Source organism: Homo sapiens, chromosome 15 (genome assembly GCF_000001405.40).
Source record: "Homo sapiens chromosome 15, GRCh38.p14 Primary Assembly".
In the NCBI taxonomy this organism is placed as follows: Eukaryota; Metazoa; Chordata; class Mammalia; order Primates; family Hominidae; genus Homo; species Homo sapiens.
Window position 1 is genome coordinate 95990154 of NC_000015.10, and position 19071 is coordinate 96009224.

Genomic DNA, 19071 nt, shown 5'->3' on the forward strand with positions numbered 1-19071 from the left:
CCATCTCAACTTCTTTAGAAAATTAAATTGGGACAGAATTATATCAGATTGAGAGGTTTTCAGATCAACTCCACGTATTTGTCTCTTATCAACCAAGGAATCTTTTTTTAAAAAAGGATATTTTCTTTGACAAAGTAGAATCTGCAAGTGGCGGAGGAAATATTTAGAAGAGATAGGATTATATTTGTGAATCTGTGATTTAGGCAGTGGATTGGATGGACACTGTGTTACTGGCTGCATTAAACATTATGCAGAAAACGGAAGATGAAGCAAAACCTGAGGCAAAGTCTCCGGTGGGACACGGAAGAGTAAAAGTGAGAGAAAAAGGGAAGGCGAGCAGGAGAGGGCCAGAGAGGCAGAAAGGAGGGCAGCGCTGGGAGAAGACATGAAAAATTAGAACAGGAGCTCAGAGCACTCGGGAGAGCAGGGGAAATGACAGTTGAAATTAGAACAGGAGCTAAGAGGAGCCAGCAGAAGGGGACGGCAGGAACTAGGAAATTTAAGGCGGGGAGAAACAACTGAGAGAAGTGGACAGAAAAAAGAAAGCTTAGCATAAATAAGAAGGCCCGGGACTCCCGTGCGTCCAGTAGACCTGCTCTGCTATGGATCAAAACAAATGATTTGTCATTCTGAAATGACTCTGAAAGGGGGAATGGAATGTGCCCCAACGATCAATATTAAATTTTATGCCTGCTGCACCTTTCAAAAGGCTCAAGAAGACATTGATTCAAGTAAGTGCCACATTTTTAAATGACCTTTGATGATTCACTTTAACAGTTTGAGAGCAGAAGTTTGCACCCTGAGCTGGGGAGCAGTGAGAACTGAAGTTTGGTTTCTAGTTGTGGTTGTGGTTGTGGTTGTGGGGCTGCCAGGTTGCGCTGGTCACTGTGGCAGGGGCAGGGATGCTCTGGCAGGAGAAAGTGCTGTTTCCTGTCCAACTAGGGCACGCGTGTGGGAGGCTGGAGTTGATGTTTTTCATTATATAGCTGGCATTCTTAGAAAGCCAAGAAGAGTTGTGCTTTTTGGCTGGTTTGATGAAGTGCTTTGGGCACTTTGTATTTTGTGGCCAATTTTACGAGAGGAAAATATCTGATTCCAATGGAATGGATTGGGAAACCTGAAGGTGGGTTTCCCAGATGAGGCCTTCCCAGAGGAGGCCTCTGCAGAGCGGGCCAATCGGGATTCTGGTTTTGCAGAGTTTTCACTGACGTAGCCTTGTCTCTTGCAGTCAGACACCTGTACTGGGTCCGAATTGGTTATAACAAGTAAAGAGTCTTGTCTGGGACTGAATGAAAAGGATTTCAAGCTGGGACATGTGGCATGTTCATGCTCTATATTTCTCCATACCTAAATGCCAAAATCAGAGCCTGGGTTTTAGGCCTAAAAGACATTATCTATTATGTCAGAAATCTCCATGTATAGCAGATTGGCTTCTGTGGGGGGAATCCCACCACCCTGTCTGCTGTCTGCTCCATGTCTGGCTTTTAAATGCTACCTGCCCAAGGAGCTAGGGCCAGCCGTGGTGCTTCCATAATCTGGTTCTGGATCCTTGGTTCTGGTGACTCATTTTATCTTCTAACTCTGGTTGATTTCCTGGATTCAGCTTCTTCATAACCTCTGATTTGGGAATCCCTCTTATCAGCTGGTCCTGAACAACCAAATCCCTCTCCATGCCATACCCTGCACAGGGAGAGTCACTTGGGCCACATTCTATCATGTTGCTGATGGTGCAAAATATCCTGGTATTCTTATTTCTAGGGCTTACTTGATAATTACATATTTATATATTGTTCAACTAACTACTCAGCAAGATCTACCTTTCCCCCACTGCTTCTTGCCTTCAGCCTACAAGGGGGTACCTGTCTCCTCAATTTTAGAAACTCACTCATTCATTCTTCAATACTTGTTTATTGAATCAGTATGATGTTCTGGGTGGTGCTAGACACCAATCAACTTTTATTCATTCCATTCACTCTTACTCATTCGAATGTTTATCAAACAAGAATCGTTTATTGGGTGCTTTTCTAAGTAGTGGAAGTAGAAGATAAAGCAGTGATGAAAATAAAGTTCCAGTTTCCATAGATCTTATTATATTTTATTGGGTGTACCCAATAAATACACAAACAAGTAAATATGGTAGGTTGTATGACGACATGGGAGAAAATAAAGGAGAGTAAGGAATAGGAGTGGAGGTTATTTTTTATAGGAAAAGTCTCATGATAAAGTGATATTTGAGAAGAAATGTTTAAAAGTAAAAGAGCAAATTATACAGATTTGAGGGGAAGCAAATACCAGTAAGAAAGAAGCAGAGTATTCAAATACCCTGAGAGGTTTAGTTTGTTTGAGGAACAGGCAATAGGACAGTATAGCTGGCACAGAGTGAGCAAAAGATAGTGAAAGAGAAGATGAAGTCAAAGAATTGCCAGAGCCCAGATTAGGTAGAATCTTGAAGCCATTGAAGCAAGGACTTTGGGTTTTACCTTTGGTGAAGTTTAGAAAACTACTGGAGGCCTCTGAGCAGAAGACTGGCATAAACAATGTTTTCAAAAAGTCACTCTAGTTGCTGTTGAGAAGACGCTCTGGGTAGGCAAGTGTGGAAGCAGAGAGGGTACGTAGAAGGTACTATAATAGTCCAGGCAAGAAATGAAATTGACTTGGGCGAAGATGGTGGCAGTGGATGTGGTGGGGTGCTAGATTATTTCAAACAGACAGTTTATGGTATTTGCTGATGGATTAGTTTGAAAGCATGAAGAAAAGAAAGTAGTCAAGACTATCTACATTGTTTTTGCCTAGACAACTGGAAAGGTTAAAAAAAAAGGTTAAAAAAAAAAAAGACTAAGCTAGGTGTTATGGCATGAGCCTGTAGTCCCAGCTACACAAGAGGCTGAGGTGGGAGGATTGCTTGAGCTGGGAAGTTTGAGTCCAGCCTGGGCAACATAGTAAGACTCCACCTCAAAAAAAAAAAAAAAAAAAAGACAGGAGAAGAAGCAAGTTTAGAAGAGTGGTGGTTAGGGAAGAGCCACGAGTTTGGTTTTAGAAGGGTTGAGTTGGAGATATTGTTTGGAAATCCAAGTGGACATGACAAGTACATCTATAATATTTAAATTTGCAGGTACAAGTCCAGGCTGGAGATGATTTAGAGTCATCAGTATTTACATGATACTTAAATACAAATGCAGGATGGGATCACATAGGGGTCAATGTAGCTGGAAATGAGGAGAAGTTAAAAGAGAAGTTTCTGGGGCATTCTGACGTCAGGAAAATGGGGCAAAGTACTAGCAGCAAGATGGAAGAGGTGTCCGGTGAGGTAGAAAGAGAACCATCAGAAAGCAGTGTTCTGGAAGCCGAGAGAAGCAAGAGTTTAAGAAGTGGGAATAATCAAATGTGTAGTATGAGAACTCTGAATTGATTTGTGGAATTAGCATTGTAGAACTCACTGGGGAGCTTGATAAGATCTCATTCAGTGAAGAGGAGAGGCATGAAAGACTGATTTGAACGAATCCAAAAAGAGTAGGAGAGAAATTGGAAGTAGCATGTGTAGGCAGAGAAATGAATCAGAACATGAAGAAAAATGTGGAGTCGTGAGAGGATGTTTTCAGGATGTGAAAATTCGAGCATCAGTGTACAAACAAGGGAGAATTGATGGCACAGGAGAGAGGAAGAAAATGCTGGCACAATGTCCTTGGGAAGGCAGGAAGGAATAGGCTGCAGCACAGAAGAGGTTGACTTGACTCAGCGGTGTAGACCAATTATTCATAGTAACAACAGGAAAAGTAGACTGATTGTTATTCCATTTTCATACTGCTATGAAGAAATACCCGAGACTGGGTAATTTGTAAAGAAAAAGAGATTTAATGGACTCACAGCTCCACATGGCTGGGGAGACCTCACAATCATGGCGGAAGGTGAAGGAGGAGCAAAAGTGCGTCTTACGTGGTGGCAGGCAAGAGAGAAGTGCAGGGGAACTGTCCTTTATAAAACCATCAGATCTCATGAGACTTATTCACTATCACGAGAACAACATGGGAAAAAAACTGTCCACATGATTCAATTACCTCCCACCAGGTCCCTCCCATAACATGTGGGGATTATGGGAGCTACAGTTCAAGATGACATTTGGGTGGGAGCACAGCCAAACCATAGCACTGACTATTGATACAGACATAGGGATGAATGTGTGGAAGTTCTCCACTGATTGCTTCTAAGTTTTCCATTAATTTAGTCAGAAAATTCATAAGCAGAGAGTGAGGCTGGTGGAGGAGGTGTTGATGGTTTAGACAGAATGACTTGCGCCAAGATTTGGAAGTAGGGGAAAATTAGGCAGATTTAAGAAATTTTGCTGGCTACTTCTCAGCCTCTATCCTTTTCAGAGCTAATATCCCCCAGAGTGTGGGCAGCAACTGGTGCTCACACTGTTTTCATCAGCGTCCTGCATCCTAGCTCCCAGCAAGATGACTCACACCCTTGAATCTGCTTATGCATTTTCAGTTGGATCTTCTGTGACTTCGGCATCTTGGAACTCAAGATGCTAGGTATTTTGTCCTCAACATAGCTGCAGCAGTCCATTCCACTCCACGGACCACCCCAGACCTGTTGAAATGCCAGCCTCATTTCCATGACCATAGAACAACTGGGGCCTCTTTCTATCATTCTTTTCTGTACCTTTCACTAATTTTTCATCTTCCTACTCTCCATTAAAAGGGCCAGTGCCCTCCCCACCCCCCTCCCCCACAAGAACCTGCCTGTCCTCTCCACTCGCCTTTAGTAAGCAACCCTGTTTATTACCACAGTATCAGCCACAACCATATCACTGATATTCTCAAACCAGTATCACCTCCATTCCACACTACCTGATAAACATTTCTGATGAAGTTGTTGTGCAAAAATATGTTATCGATGGCTCAAATCAAAATATTTTAAGCTGTATTTATCACCTTTCTTCCAAGGTCAGTTCTATATCCTGACTTATCTACTGTTATTAATAGCACTGTGATTCCATCAGATCTCTAGGCTTGAAAATTAGGCATTACTTTCATCTTCTCTCTTCCTCTCATGCCCACACACAGTCTTAATGGACAGAACCATGTCCTCATAGCATGTACCTCTGAAGAAATTTTGCAGTTTTAAATATAACAGGTACTTGGTTGACATGCAAAGTGAATACCCATGAAATATTTAATAACCTATTGCCTGTGCCATGATGTCGTCCTTTCTCTTCATTCATTGCTACCAGTGCCTTATCTTCAGCCCAGTTTGCTTTGGATCTACCAGGATTGGCACAGCACATTTACTGACCCCGAAAAGAGGCCATCTCAATTTGCAATAGATCAGAAGAGATACTTTAGAATGACTAAATGTTATAGAAATTGGTGTCTGCTCAGAAAACATCCTTCATGACTTTGCAAATAGGCAAAAATGTCAAGTCAGCTCTACTCTGAAGCCATTTGGAGACATTTGCAACAATGAATGCATGATTAAGTTTATTGTTTAGTAAACAGTTTGCAGACATTAGCCAAGGAAGAGTTATGGCGGCAGTTTACAAATAATTGCAATTGAATTAGGCAGACTGCAATGCAAAAGCAGTGCAAATAACTTGCCAATTCCATAAAATGTTTTGCAAACAGATTCTGGGAGAAAATAGAATGAGAAAAGCAGAAAATCCAGAAAGCAATGTTTTCCGAGTCTGCTCTGCGGATAGTGAGAGAGGATGCCCTCATATTTTACCATGAGAGTAAAGTGTTAGTGAAAGGTGTTTATTTCTGCTTTGCCTCAGAGACAGAGCTTGGCACAGACTTCAGAATAGGAAAAAGGGGGCATGACTCAGTGATTTGGCACTTAACAAATTCAATTGAACAAAAGTAGCAGAACCATTTTAAAATAGAGTATATGTGTTTGACTGAGGGGGATTGTGGTGGGAGAATTCTGGCCTATAGAAATACACCACTCACAGCAACTCATTGCCGAGATAAACCTGTGCACAATGTTGGAGAGCTGACTGTATATCTGCAGTATGCTTAAAAGAAGATTCATTTTATTAAATATACATTATATGACACATACATTTAATTAAGAGATATACAGTATATATGTACATATATAGCTATATATAGAATACTGTATGTACATATTATATATAATATGCATATAATGATGTGAATGTATAATAAATATATATTTAATAACATACAATTAACATAATATTTAATAATATATACTATGTCAATATTAAGGTTACCTCTCCTAGACCAAAAAGCGTTTCCTAGACATGCTATGTTTGCTTTCCCCAAGCTGTTTCATTCATTTCTTTGCACTAATTCTATGAATTGAAGATACAGATCCAACTATAAACACATTAGAATGAATCTAGAAATCAAATGAATAAAAAACTAGACAATACTTAAATTGTAGTTACTCACCAAAACTGCTTGATTAAGAATCCCTTAGCCACATTATCATGACTTCTATGTCAAAAAAAAAAAAAAAAGCACAGAACATTCATAAAAAGCATGAGCATGATTTAGTGACAGATTTTCTGCGTAAGGAACACCCACAGGGCTTTTGTGGTTAAAGTTGGCCTTTTGTCTCAAAATGCATCCTGAGCACGCGGTTTTCCTCTTCTAACCACACCCTTTATCATAGGCTATTGATTTTGTAACTATTCAACCAGATTCTTAGATTCAAAAATGCATCTAGGGAAGAACAGGTGATCTAAAACAAATCCTTGAGTTCCGTGTCACATACCAAAGGCTGGGACAATTGGTTTAAGTAAAAGAACTGACTTCTGTCTCCTCTGAAAGGATTCAGGATTGGTCACAGATCAATTGGAATTTAAAACAGTCAGACGTATGGATTAGGAAATTTCATTTTAATCCCCTCTCACAACATTTTGAAGTCTACAACAGATGCATAATTTGTGGATTTACTACAAATATGTTTAAGTCTACAGATCTGCATAGTAGCTGAGGCTGGGCTAATGGGTCAAGTATATCATAATTGGACACTTCTTTGCACTGAAACTAGATGCAAAAATCTATCCATCATTTCTCAAAGGCAAATTACATTTATACAGTGCCTCGTTTTGCACATTCAAAAGTTTTCAGTATCTACCATAGCCATTTGTGGTGAGACAGATCACGCTCACAAATAGAGCCTTTGGAATCATATCCTTTGCAGCATTTTAGTTGCAAAGCAATTCTATATCTTAGAGGTTGGCACAATAGGAAGCTACTGAATTGAAAACCAAATAAAAGAGAACATTAGATGACAAAAAAATCCAGGCTCTATCTTTCCCTTTTATCTTTTGCTCTTCTGTCCCTGAAAAGAGGCACCATTTTCTCTTTGCAACATAAGGAAGAGAAAGATGCCTGGTTTCAGCACTTGTTGATCCCATTAACAGGAAAGATTGACAAGAAGTAGACAATTATATCTGACATGAATATGGATATGGAGGGGATTGTTGAAATGGAGACTCTTGCTAATGGAAGAAAGATGATTCAAGCCTTCTGACAGATGTCAAGTAGATTGGAGTCCAGTGAACTTACAACCATTTAATCTGCATTGCAAGAGAAGACAAATTGCATGACTGATAACCTCTTTATTTTTTATTCTATAATTTTTTACTCTGCAGTGTAGAAAGAGTTAGGGTTTTCAACTTGCTAATGTGGGTCACTATTATTCACCCAGAGTTTCAATGGCATTGGGGCTTTTGTTAGCAGGTGGCTTCTTCTCTGGGTCAAGGAAGAAAAGAAATAAATGAAAAAGACGTGAATAAAGAAATGATATAAATCAATCTGAGAATTACAACTGTTCAATAAGATTTTGACCTCAGTTTCAGGAATGCAATTTCTGACTCTGTCTGAGAGGCATTAGTGACTCATTTAATGCATTATATGAAAGTAAGGTAAGTAGGAAAAATGTACTTGAACTCCATTTGGTTCTACAATATAATAGAGATAGAAATGTTTCTTTATTTAAAAATAATCTTTTATCCTGCTGAGATATTTGTGTGTAGTATGTTTGTGTATTTCTGAGTAAAGATTGTTTAAAAAAAAAACAGTTGTTTTGTTTCTCTAGTATACTGGTACAAGCAAACACACAAGGAGAAGAAGAGTTGATTTACGACCTTTGAACTCTTTCATATTATGTTTTTCAACTTCCTTGTCTAGATTAGAAAGTTCCCTCTACCTGTCTGCCCATACTCATGTCTGGAGCTTTTGAGCTCTACTCAAAGCCAATTCAATTTGGCAAAACTTGTGATGTTCCTCCAGTAGAAGAAATTTCTTGACTCTAAATTTTGCTGACACCTTAAAGTGAAAATTGCATAGAAAATCCCATCCTCAAGTGGTGGTGCCTGCCTATAGTCCCAGATACTCAGGAGGTTGAGGCAGGAGAATCACCTGAACCCAGGAGGGGGAGGTCACAGTGAGCCGAGATTGTGCCACTGTACTCCAACCTGGGTGACAGAGGGAGACTCCATCTCAAAAAAAGAAAGAAAAAAGATAAAGAAAAGAGAAAATCCCATCCTCTGATGATGAGTAGTTTTCCTTTTAAGGTTCCAAAGGAGCTCTGTCAGCATTCTCTCTAGTTAGTTAGCAGTAGGATTCGAAGAGTCACTCTCACTCCAAAGAGAATGAACTTGGCTTGCAGAAGGCAGAGAGCCATGGGAAATCCCACACAATGACCCAGGTTATGGTGACTTACATTGTACCATTTCCTTATAATAACCAAATCACCTGCAATACTCTTCAGGTCAGTGTGCGTTTCTTGAGTGTCTGCTTTGTTCTTGACAGTGCACTGGGTTCTGGGTCTGCAAAGACAGGGGATCTGACCCTCAAGTAGCTTACAGTCCAGAGGGGAAAACAGACCTACAGGCATATTCTTTCAAGACAATGTAGTAACATAAAGAGGTCAGCAAAGGAAGTGGAAGTCAGATGTCATGCCTCCCAGCAAGGTCTGAATGTTCTCTCCTCAACAAAGTCATCCCTAAAAAAAGCTATGAGTCAAGTGAAAGAGACCCATCAGCTTCTTGGCCAGAGGAAGCTTTGTTAGGACAGCCATGTAGGCGTGACCTGCCGTGAGGAGGGATGGGGACTCCTCTGAAGCAGCACTTTTGCGTTTCCCATTTATCTTGTTCTCATCAATACCTCGAACCACAGCTCCAATACCACTTTGGCAGTGGGGCCTACTGGGAACACCCACTGGTGGAAAGAATAACTTGACTATATGAGCTTTAGAAGACCTCAATCCTCTCCTTTCCTTCCTTCTTTTGGTTTATTTTTGTTTGTTTGTTTGTTTTATACTTATTTATTCCTCTTCCCTCCACATGCCATTTAACTTTGCTGAGTGCTCCACTGAACCAGGAGGATGTTCGAAGGTTTTGCATGTATTATCTCATTTAATCTTTACAATAATCCCCTGGGGTAAGTAATACCATTTGCCTGTTTTACAGATATGAACTGAGGCACAGCCAGGTTACGCAAGTTGTCCAAACATATAACGAATAAGTGGTGGCACCAGGGTTTTCCTCAGGCAATCTGATTCCAGGACCACTACACTGCAGCTATTTTCAGGTGCCTTGTATCCTTAACTGTATTACAAAGCTTTTGAGAGGCACAGAGATCACTTGTTATTTGCAGTTTACACAATACCTACTCTCTAGAGATTGTAGGGGTGATCACATGATATTATTGCACGAAAGGGTAAATGAACAGATAAATGAATGGGGGAACTCTACTTAGAAAGCTGGTGAAAAAAACAAACGTGGCCTATAAAACGTTGAGCAGGAGGATGAATGATAAAAGGAATATAATGCTATTTTAGGAAAATAAGCCTTCCTTTACGAAAGAAAGCAATAGAATATAGACTTTTCACTAGGCCTTTGTAGTCTTCAAAATATTGGCGTGAAGATCTGAGTCAGCATGGATGTTATCAGAAAGAAAGATGAGGAATGGATACTTGGATTGCCGTAAAGGGAAAACTTGGTGACTGCATATGGAGACATGTAGAAGGATGTTGCTGTAATTTTTTAAAAAATCCTCATTATCCTAATGGAAAACACATTAAAAGCATTTAAAGAAACACAATCATTCATAATCTTACCATCTGATGGTAAACAAAATTAACATTTTTATATTATCAACATTGGTTATTGCATGAAAATCAACTTAAAATATTAGACCAAGCAAGAAAATAATGCATGTCAATTTCTTCTCAAAATTCCAGTTCCAAAATGCTACACCAAATTAATATTCACTTTGTATTGCCAAATGACTGGTTTATTCGGCTGTGTGGAAACTGGCCACTGATGTTGTAAATAACTGAGTTGACTTAGTTTTAATCTGGTTCCATCGTCATGGGTCTAACGTGTGTTGAAGGATGCAAAAGTTAAGTACACCCTAGCCTGATTTTCTGAACAATGTAACATTCCTGCAAAATGTTTTCTGGTTTGAGTGTCTATTGATCAGCTACTTTCTGACTTAACTCATTCAGTCTACACAGAAAATGCTCACAGGGCTCTGTTTATGTCCCTTCTGCCTAGTTTCTTAAAAACAACATTTTCACAGAATCATTAAAGTTGTAAACATCATCTATATAAAAATCTATATAAATGATACCTTTGCCTCTCTAAAAAAATACAAATTAATTGAGAAGTTGCATTGCAAATGCCAATTAAGTAGAGAATTTGTTTCTCGGCATAGTAATTTCAAATGCAGTTCACTATAAATTCACATGTAAACATCCGGAATTATAAAACCAATACTATGAGGAGAAAGCAAGTGGTTATTGCTTTATATAACATTTCCTCTGGAATTCCTTCAAGAGGTAAGGCTTGACAGTTTCACTAAAATGAAATATACTGATATTGATTCATAAATCTGATATGTATGAAGCCTCTCTTCTGTGCCAGGCACTGTGCTGGGGGCTGAATTATACACATTATTTTTCCAGAAATGCATCTGAACATACATATGACCAATGCACATATGTGCAGTTCTTCTATTAAGATAATTTATGAGGCAGGTACTCTTGTCTGAGTCAATCAGCTTGACAAAGACTGTTGCCAGAGAAGTATTTATTTAGTAGATGTTTGCCATAAGCTTTGGTATGTTTTCCTACCTGTCTCCCCCAGCAGACTTTATCTTGCAGAATTTCAGGAGACATTTCTAGAACTTAATTAAATCATTTTCATATTGGAAGATGATACAATGAGGTTTGTATTTTAGGTGTCAAATTACTCCCCAGAATTATTAACTACTGATTATACCCTCAGAACAGTTATTACATATTAGGAGTCTCCAGTTGAAATATTTTTTTTTCCTAGAAACTTAGATGTTGAATTTAGAACTCAAATTCACTAGGGACTGTAAAACGAAAAACAAAGTCCATAGAAGGTTACTTGATGATACTTTTGATGATACAGTGAATAAGAGCAAAATGCAAAAGGCTTTAAATTCTATGGTGCTGCTGGTGACTCAGAATGCCCAGGTTTGGACCTCGGTCTTTGGAGTTATCTGACCTAGTTGATCTTATATAACCTCTCTAAACTTCTGATTCCATGACTGCAAGAATAGATTTTATCATGACAAAGATGCTGTGATGATAATGAGTTAATGAATCTAAGGTGCTTTGTAAGTACTAAAGTGACATAAATAATATTATTAATATTAACTTTACAAATATCTCCACAATTACACCACCTTGAATAATATTCCAATATAAAGCAATAAATTATAACTCATCTTAAGCTGCCATCATCCTTCCAAAATTCATAGTCCACATCACTTATGCATGATAAAGATAATTGCAAAAATTCTTAGAGATGGATTTTATCTTGGAACCTACTGTGTTTCAAGGGGAACATATCATTATCTCAGTATGCCAACATAATGCTGATCCATTAATAGAAAAACATGAATATGTGCTGATGATAACCTGACAGGATATGGTTTTGCCTTCTTGTTGAATGTCTGGGGTTAAGAGAATGATTGAGATGAAGGAAGAGAGTAAAGCTTACTGACTCAACTACCAATAAACCATGGCCTCTTCCACACCATGCTTTCCATCGAACATGTCTGCTTCTGAGGAGTGTTCCTACTTGCAGGCAACTTGAAATAACTTCCCAAAAGTTAACCACCTGCAATGCTTACCTGCAGGCAGGTAGATGCAGCTCCAGGGGCCCTTTAGGATCGACGGCTCCAGATAGCTCAGAAATGACTGAATTTTTGATGCAGCAGACACTTTCCAGGGAAAGCAAAATTCACCCTGGAGCCCCCCACGTACAAATTATAGTCACCATTTAAACCATCATCACAGTATTTGAGGTTAGTAAAACATATTGCTTGAGCTATAAAACATTCTAAACTAGCATTCCAAATGTCTCGCCTCAAGCAAGCACTTAAATTAAAGTTTCAGACAGCTGGCACTGGAATCATAATAACAGTTTTACACAAAGGGATTGGCTAAACATGATTATTGTTTTGATAATTTATTGTCAACATGCATTATTGTGCCCTGATCCCAACACTCGGGTTTGGTTCTTTTCTATTGTCAACAGGTGACAAATTCTGGTTCAGGTGATAGAGTAGAACATTTGTTGCCCTGGTTCTAGCTAGATCACACACACACACTCAAACACACATAGTATATTACAATTAATTTATACAGTCATCATTTTAGGGTCTCTTTTCTCTAAATTGCTTTGTTAGTAAAGAGAAATAATCTCCAGGTACCCCTATTACAAAAAAAAAGTTGACTTACTAAATTCTCTTGGAATATCTAATTTCCAGTACCTCTTTTGCAACAGATAGAAAATGCTACAGTATTTCTTTTGTAATTTGAAGTGTGTATATAACACTGGCAGCCTTGTGTCTATTTAGGCAGATGGGTGCTAATTCACCCAAGGCACAGACAATGCTGACGATAGCTATTTGCCCTTTAGCCAATTCTAAAGCACAATATTTTGCAGACATATTAACATATTTTCAAGTATAACAGATTCTCTGTTCACTTCAACTTGGACCACTTTGAAAGATTTTATTTCCACCACAGGGAAATAAGCGTGATTGACATTGATGTTCCATTTTACTCAAACCGGTCTCATTCACAGATTTTATAACAGAATTAGAAACAGAAAATTATATTTTTATTATTTAAATTAAGCCCAACATATAGTACAGGCAAATTTTTTTCTCAGTCTGTTTGAACATTTAGAAACATTGTGATAATATGTTTTACCATTTTAATAAGAAAGCAGGCACTGCTTGTGTTTGGGTGGTGAGGATTGCTGTATCAGTGCAACAGGTTTTTCTGGATTATATCTTTCTGTACACAACACACACTAAAAAATTGGAAGAGTCAGAAAGAGTCAATATGCTCAGATCGGCCAAGAGGGAAATAAAGGACACATTAAATTTTTTTCTGAACATCACTTTTCCATTGACTTTAATTAAGATTTCATTAAACCCTGAGTTTGGAAAGCTTTTAATTGAGAGAGAATTTGCTTACCGGGCATATTTTTGGTGAGCTGTAAAGAGAATCTCTATAATTAATGGCCCTTCCAACTTTACAGTAAGTTCAACTTTGTTCTACCTTTGCAGAAATTGGTTATAGATCCAGTCTTAAGAAATGAGCCAGGCCACAATAATGATTTTTATCTTGTAGTAAAGTGGCACAAAGTTGGCTCTAGTATACTTTATGATTATATTGTCTGCCGACAAATTAATCCAATTAGCAAAGGTGAAGGTTTATAATTGGGGTTAACTAGAATTTAACTGGTCATTGCTCATCAAACCTCCCTCACCTCCTCTAGAGCATGGTCCCCTAAGTTATTCGAGTAGTCACAGCCAGTCCCCAGATCAAACCAAAAGTCTGACTTCAAAAATCCTGTTTCAAGAAAACCTGATAGAGCCATCTTTCCAAAACCATGACAACAATGGAACTTGGTGGCATGGTATTTTCCTGCTGTTTGGGAGAGTGAGTCCCCACCCCCACCCTTTCTCCACCCCCCGACTACTGAGAGTATTTTTATATAGTTCAAGTCCCTATTGGTCTGCAGTTTGCAGTGCGGTTTAAAAAGTAATACATCTTTTCTTAGATGTACCCCAGTTTCTGCTTTTTAATAGATATGATAATGAGCTTCTGGGTCTTCATTTCCCAGTGTGCAGAGAGCTCAAATAAATCTTTGATTGTTCACAACCCAGGAGAAGTTTCCGGAGCAGTGGGATCCATTGAGGTCTCTCTAAACAACTATTATTTTAAGGATATTTTTTAAACGTTGGACTTTCCTGGAGCCATTGAGTTTTTCTTTTCCAATGTTGTTAGTGGCACCTGCTTATAGTGAACTTAGACAAAATGAAATTCCTTTTACAGTGAATCAGCATGAATGAAAGTTCCCAACTGTTTCAGAGCAGCATAATATGCTAACTTAGTAAAGGTTTCCTTGTAGGTAAAAGGAAAAGTAAGCTTTACTGTAGATTTCCACAAAAACACGTCTGTGTGGGGAGTCCAGGTTTTTCCTAGATTTCAAAATTCTGGAAGGTGTTTTACATTTCTGCAGGCAAAAGTATGCCAATGTGAAAATATGTTTGACCACTTTGAAGACTCTTGTTTTTGGAGATTATGACTTATTTATATCTAGCATAATATAGTTTCTCCTTAATGAAATGCTTTCCAAAAAGTGAATTCAAAAGTCTGTCTAACAAACTTAGAAATGTACAATTACTTATTTCTATTTTTTTAAAAGTCAAAACGTCCTTTGGGCAATTTCTGTTTTCAGTTTTATTGACAATTTTGAAAACAGAAATCCTAACACTGAAAAGACCTACTGTTGTCAGATTTTTCATAAATTTCAGGGAAAAAATACGCATCTTCTACTTTTTTTTAATGGGGGGAGGGAAGGAGCAATGGCATCAGGTATGTATTTTGATATGATATGACCTCAGGTTATGCTTAAAGAAATATATATTACATTGGCTGGAATTTTTATTTATTATAGCTGAGGTGATTGATGCTGCTTCCGTTAATTCTAAAATAAGCCATTGAAAACTATTTTTATATGTCTACAGACAAAATTTCCTCAATTTTCCTAGCCAACTGGATCTGGTGGGAGGTTGAAAAATGTTTTTATTTAATTTTTTTACTCGTGTTTTTATAAAAGAAGAAGATGGTGGCTTGTGTCCATCCCCACAGCTTTAGCCAATTGACTATGATTGAATACTTTTTCTTATTACTGCTCACTGGGATCTTCTTATGAAATGCACATTTCATTTTTATCCAGGACCTGGGGATACGGGACGACAGACGAATATTACTTGAAATTTGGCACGCCACAGTCTATAGAAAGCTGCACACCAAGACTGTGGAAGAGTTATAATTTTAATTCTTTTTACAATGACAAGGTTATTTCAAAGTTAAATTATCATTATCTCTTAAACAAACAGCACTGTGGCAGTTTTAGTAGGGCAAGGTGGCTTATTCTAATTGGTAGTATCCGTGGATTCCTATGCTGAATTTTAGATCTAAGCATTTCCAAATGAATAGGAAGATTGAAGAGAAAGGATATATTTGCAATCTGTTTGGGCTGAAATGGGTACTTGGTGCCACATATCTTGATGCAGCAAGCCATCATTATGGTTATTACTGCCTCCATGATAGCCAGGTAGAAGCACCTGCTCTTCCTCTGCCTTCACCAGTGAATCCCTAACAATCAATTAATTTCTGAGAAACACTAATAACGAGACAAAGATACAAACTATTATAATATCAAAGGAGGATGTGCTTGACATTGGTCAGTAGAGAGGCGGGGCTTGTAGAATCCCAAAGGTTTAAGAGCACGGATGCTCAGCTGAAATAAAGCTGAGTTCAGTCCTGTAACACCCTGCTCTGAACAGAATCCACTGCAACCCATTTTTTAGTAAGAAATTCAACTGTGATATTCTCTGTTTATAGACTCTGTCATCAGTAGGGTTGGATTCTGTGACTTGAAGATTCCCAGCTTGTAATTTTGTTAGTAACATGTTCCTGGTTTTGCATAAAAGAAAAAAACAAAGCAGAGGAGATTGTTTTACCACAGATGATATAATAGGGATAACAAAACAAATACAAGTAAGCAAGCACCAAGCACACATATACATGACTGCAAAACAACACACACACACACACACACACACACACACACACACACACACACACAAATTCAGAACCATAGGAGAATAAAATCTGAAAATATATTTTGTGCATAGTATTTAGCACTATATATTTCCAATGTGTAATGTCTTCCTCACAAAGGAAATTCATGATGAAATAGATAGAATAATTTAGCACATCTTTCAAAGTGGAAAACTGGGAAATTTTGTTCATTTTCCCACAGAAGCAACAAGGATTTTTCAAAATCGTTTTTATGCTGTCAGACCAAAAAATAAATTCAGATTAAAACCAAATTAATCAAACTGTAGTTCTCTATATCACCAAGGAAGACTGGGATGTGCTCTTTCCTCTTCCTTCTCAAATTCCTCCTTCTCCTCCTCCTACTTCTTCTTTTTAATGTATCAATAGGAAAGGATCTAATATTTGGATTCATGGCCAACATTTAAAATCAGAATAGATAAAATAAAAATATAGTTTTTGTTTTTCTTGAAAAGTCAGATCTGACAACAGCAGACCTTCATTTCCACCTGTAAACAAAAGGCTTGGCTTCTGTGACTGTCCCAGTAGACCAAGCATGCCCTCTCCTCCCATTTTCCAACAATCCCCACCTAACCCACGTAACTCACTGAAGTCACCAGCAGGACCATGTCACCTTCTGGTTGGCAGCAAATCTGTGGCTTAAAATGGGAACAGTCACCACCCCTGAATCCCCTCATCTCTCTGTTCTCTGTCAGGAACCATCTTTCTAGGCCATGTCAACCCACCTACCATCTTCCCTCCTTCGTTTGCTCTTTTCTACCCCAACAGTTTTCCCAGGTGACATCCTTTCAAGAAAGCACACCCTTCTCCAATGCATGTCTATCCTTTTCCTGAGATTCTAGACAAAACCTCCCCTCTGTGTAGCACTTTTGACCAGCTCTGCTCTGCTCTGGTCCCTATTCTAGTCCACATGTCCTGCATCCACACCTTGATACATGGTAGACTCAATGGAAGTCTGTGGTACAAAATAATTAATATTTGCTGAAATAAGTGTTCTTCAAAGACACAGTTCCCCTCATCAATTTCTTGGCAGTTACATACAGGAGACCTGCTACATGCCCTCAGAATGCCCCTTGGAGCTAGAATTTGGCCACTGTCATCATTTACAGTGGTTGATTACATTTCCCTGTAAGTGTGACCGCATTTCAGTCTCACCTCTCTATCCAGTCTTCCTAGATGATGTAGAAAACTTCTGAAGTCAAGAACCAAAATCTTCCAGTTCTTGGTGCCCCTTAAGACAAAAGGGCATTGTCCTCTGACATCTATGGTGGAAACCATCTCTCTTGCCTCAGAATTCACATCACGTTTTGTACCATTTCCAATGTACTTATCACATTTTATTGCACATTAAATAGTAATAGAATATACTCTGTTTAAGGGCAGAGTGTATACCTTCTGCAACTTTGTATTACCCTTAAAGATAATCACCCTTCTATGTGTTTGAATTAATGAAAGTTAAACATTCATCAAAGGATACTGGTTGATTCAATGTACATTAGAACCTAAATTTCCAGAGTCTAAGATTTAATGTATTTTTGTTTTTGTTTTTGAGACAGAGTCTCACTCTGTCACCCAGGATGGAGTACAGTGGCCTGTGGCTCACTGCAGCCTAGACTTCCTGAACTGAGGTGATTCTCCCACCTCAGCCTCCGGAGTAGCTGGGACTACAGGTGTGCACCACCATGCCTAGCTACTTTTTGTGTTTGTTGCAGAGATGAGGTTTCACCATGTTGCCCAGGCTGGTCTTGTACCCCTGGGCTCAAGCTATCTGCCTGCCTCAGCCCTCCAATGTGCTGGAATTACAGGTGTGAGCCATTGTACCCAGACAAGAGTTAACATTTAAAGTTACCAACAACTGGTTCAGGATTCACATTCCCAGTTTACGTGGATTCAGGTATCCAAGGAAAAGAAGTCACAGGAAGCAGGAAGCCTCAGGGGAATGAAACTTCACTGACAAGACACTGCTCCTGTTTTCTTCAAGACCACAACCCCTACCATCCCTTTACTGCCAGTGATATTAAGTTGCAACATGAAGGCGATTAAATGCAGATGAGGTGCTTTCCATCATTAGTTTTTGCTTTGATTTAAAGCGTTAAATTCTGTTGATCAAATAGACGCACATCTGAAAGGGTTATTTCCTCGAAGTTCTAGAGTGTGAATACGTTTATCATGTTATCTATCCTAGAATAGTCCCTCAAGAAAAGGGGACACAGGCTGGATGTTTTGATTTATGAGTTGGGACTGAGAATAAAAAGGATGAGGGTTCTTAAATGAAGAGTCTTAGGATATCTGTGTTGAGGACCTTTAAATTAAGTTGAGGTTGGTATAGAGCAGGTAATACCTATTTTTGTAAAGGGCTTCATAGGATCTTGAAAATAACCTTTGTGTGTTTTAAGATATTGCCTTCAGCTTCCCCTGTTTCTAATCACTACACCAAGTTCTATCCATTCCAAAACATGCCTTTTTCCCTTAGCCTACCATTCTAACACAACATTCTGTTTCTTGGTCTCTTATACCCAATGCACACGTACACGTACACACACACACACACACACACACCCCTTTGGGCTCCTCATTCTGTTTATTTCCAATAGCAGAAACATGAAGCAATGACAAGATGGCCAGAGTTTCACATCAGACTCAAACTCTAGTAGGAGCAGCTTCAAAAACAGATAGGCTGAGTTGTTCACCAGAAGATGTGGTATGTATGCTTATCTCCTTAAGGATCTGCTTTAAGGATTTCATATTTTGTATTTCTGAACATGCTCCATTAGAAATGTTGAAGGGAAAAAATGTTAATAACAGAAAACTCTGTCCCTTATTTCAGGGACCTTGAACAAGTTTCTTAGGTATTCTTTTCCCCATCTTATCAACAAAGAAAAACATAGC

General features: G+C 38.6%; 1 long non-coding RNA gene across 1 annotated transcript in view; it reads left to right on the forward strand.

The window, feature by feature from the left end:
• The first annotated feature begins 281 nt into the window (after positions 1 to 281).
• Positions 282 to 19071, forward strand: part of LOC112268156 (uncharacterized) — a 236909-nt gene continuing 218119 nt past the window's right edge. The window contains exon 1 of the long non-coding RNA XR_002957737.1: positions 282 to 731. This is a non-coding gene — a long non-coding RNA (uncharacterized LOC112268156). The remainder of the gene's footprint in view (positions 732 to 19071) is intronic.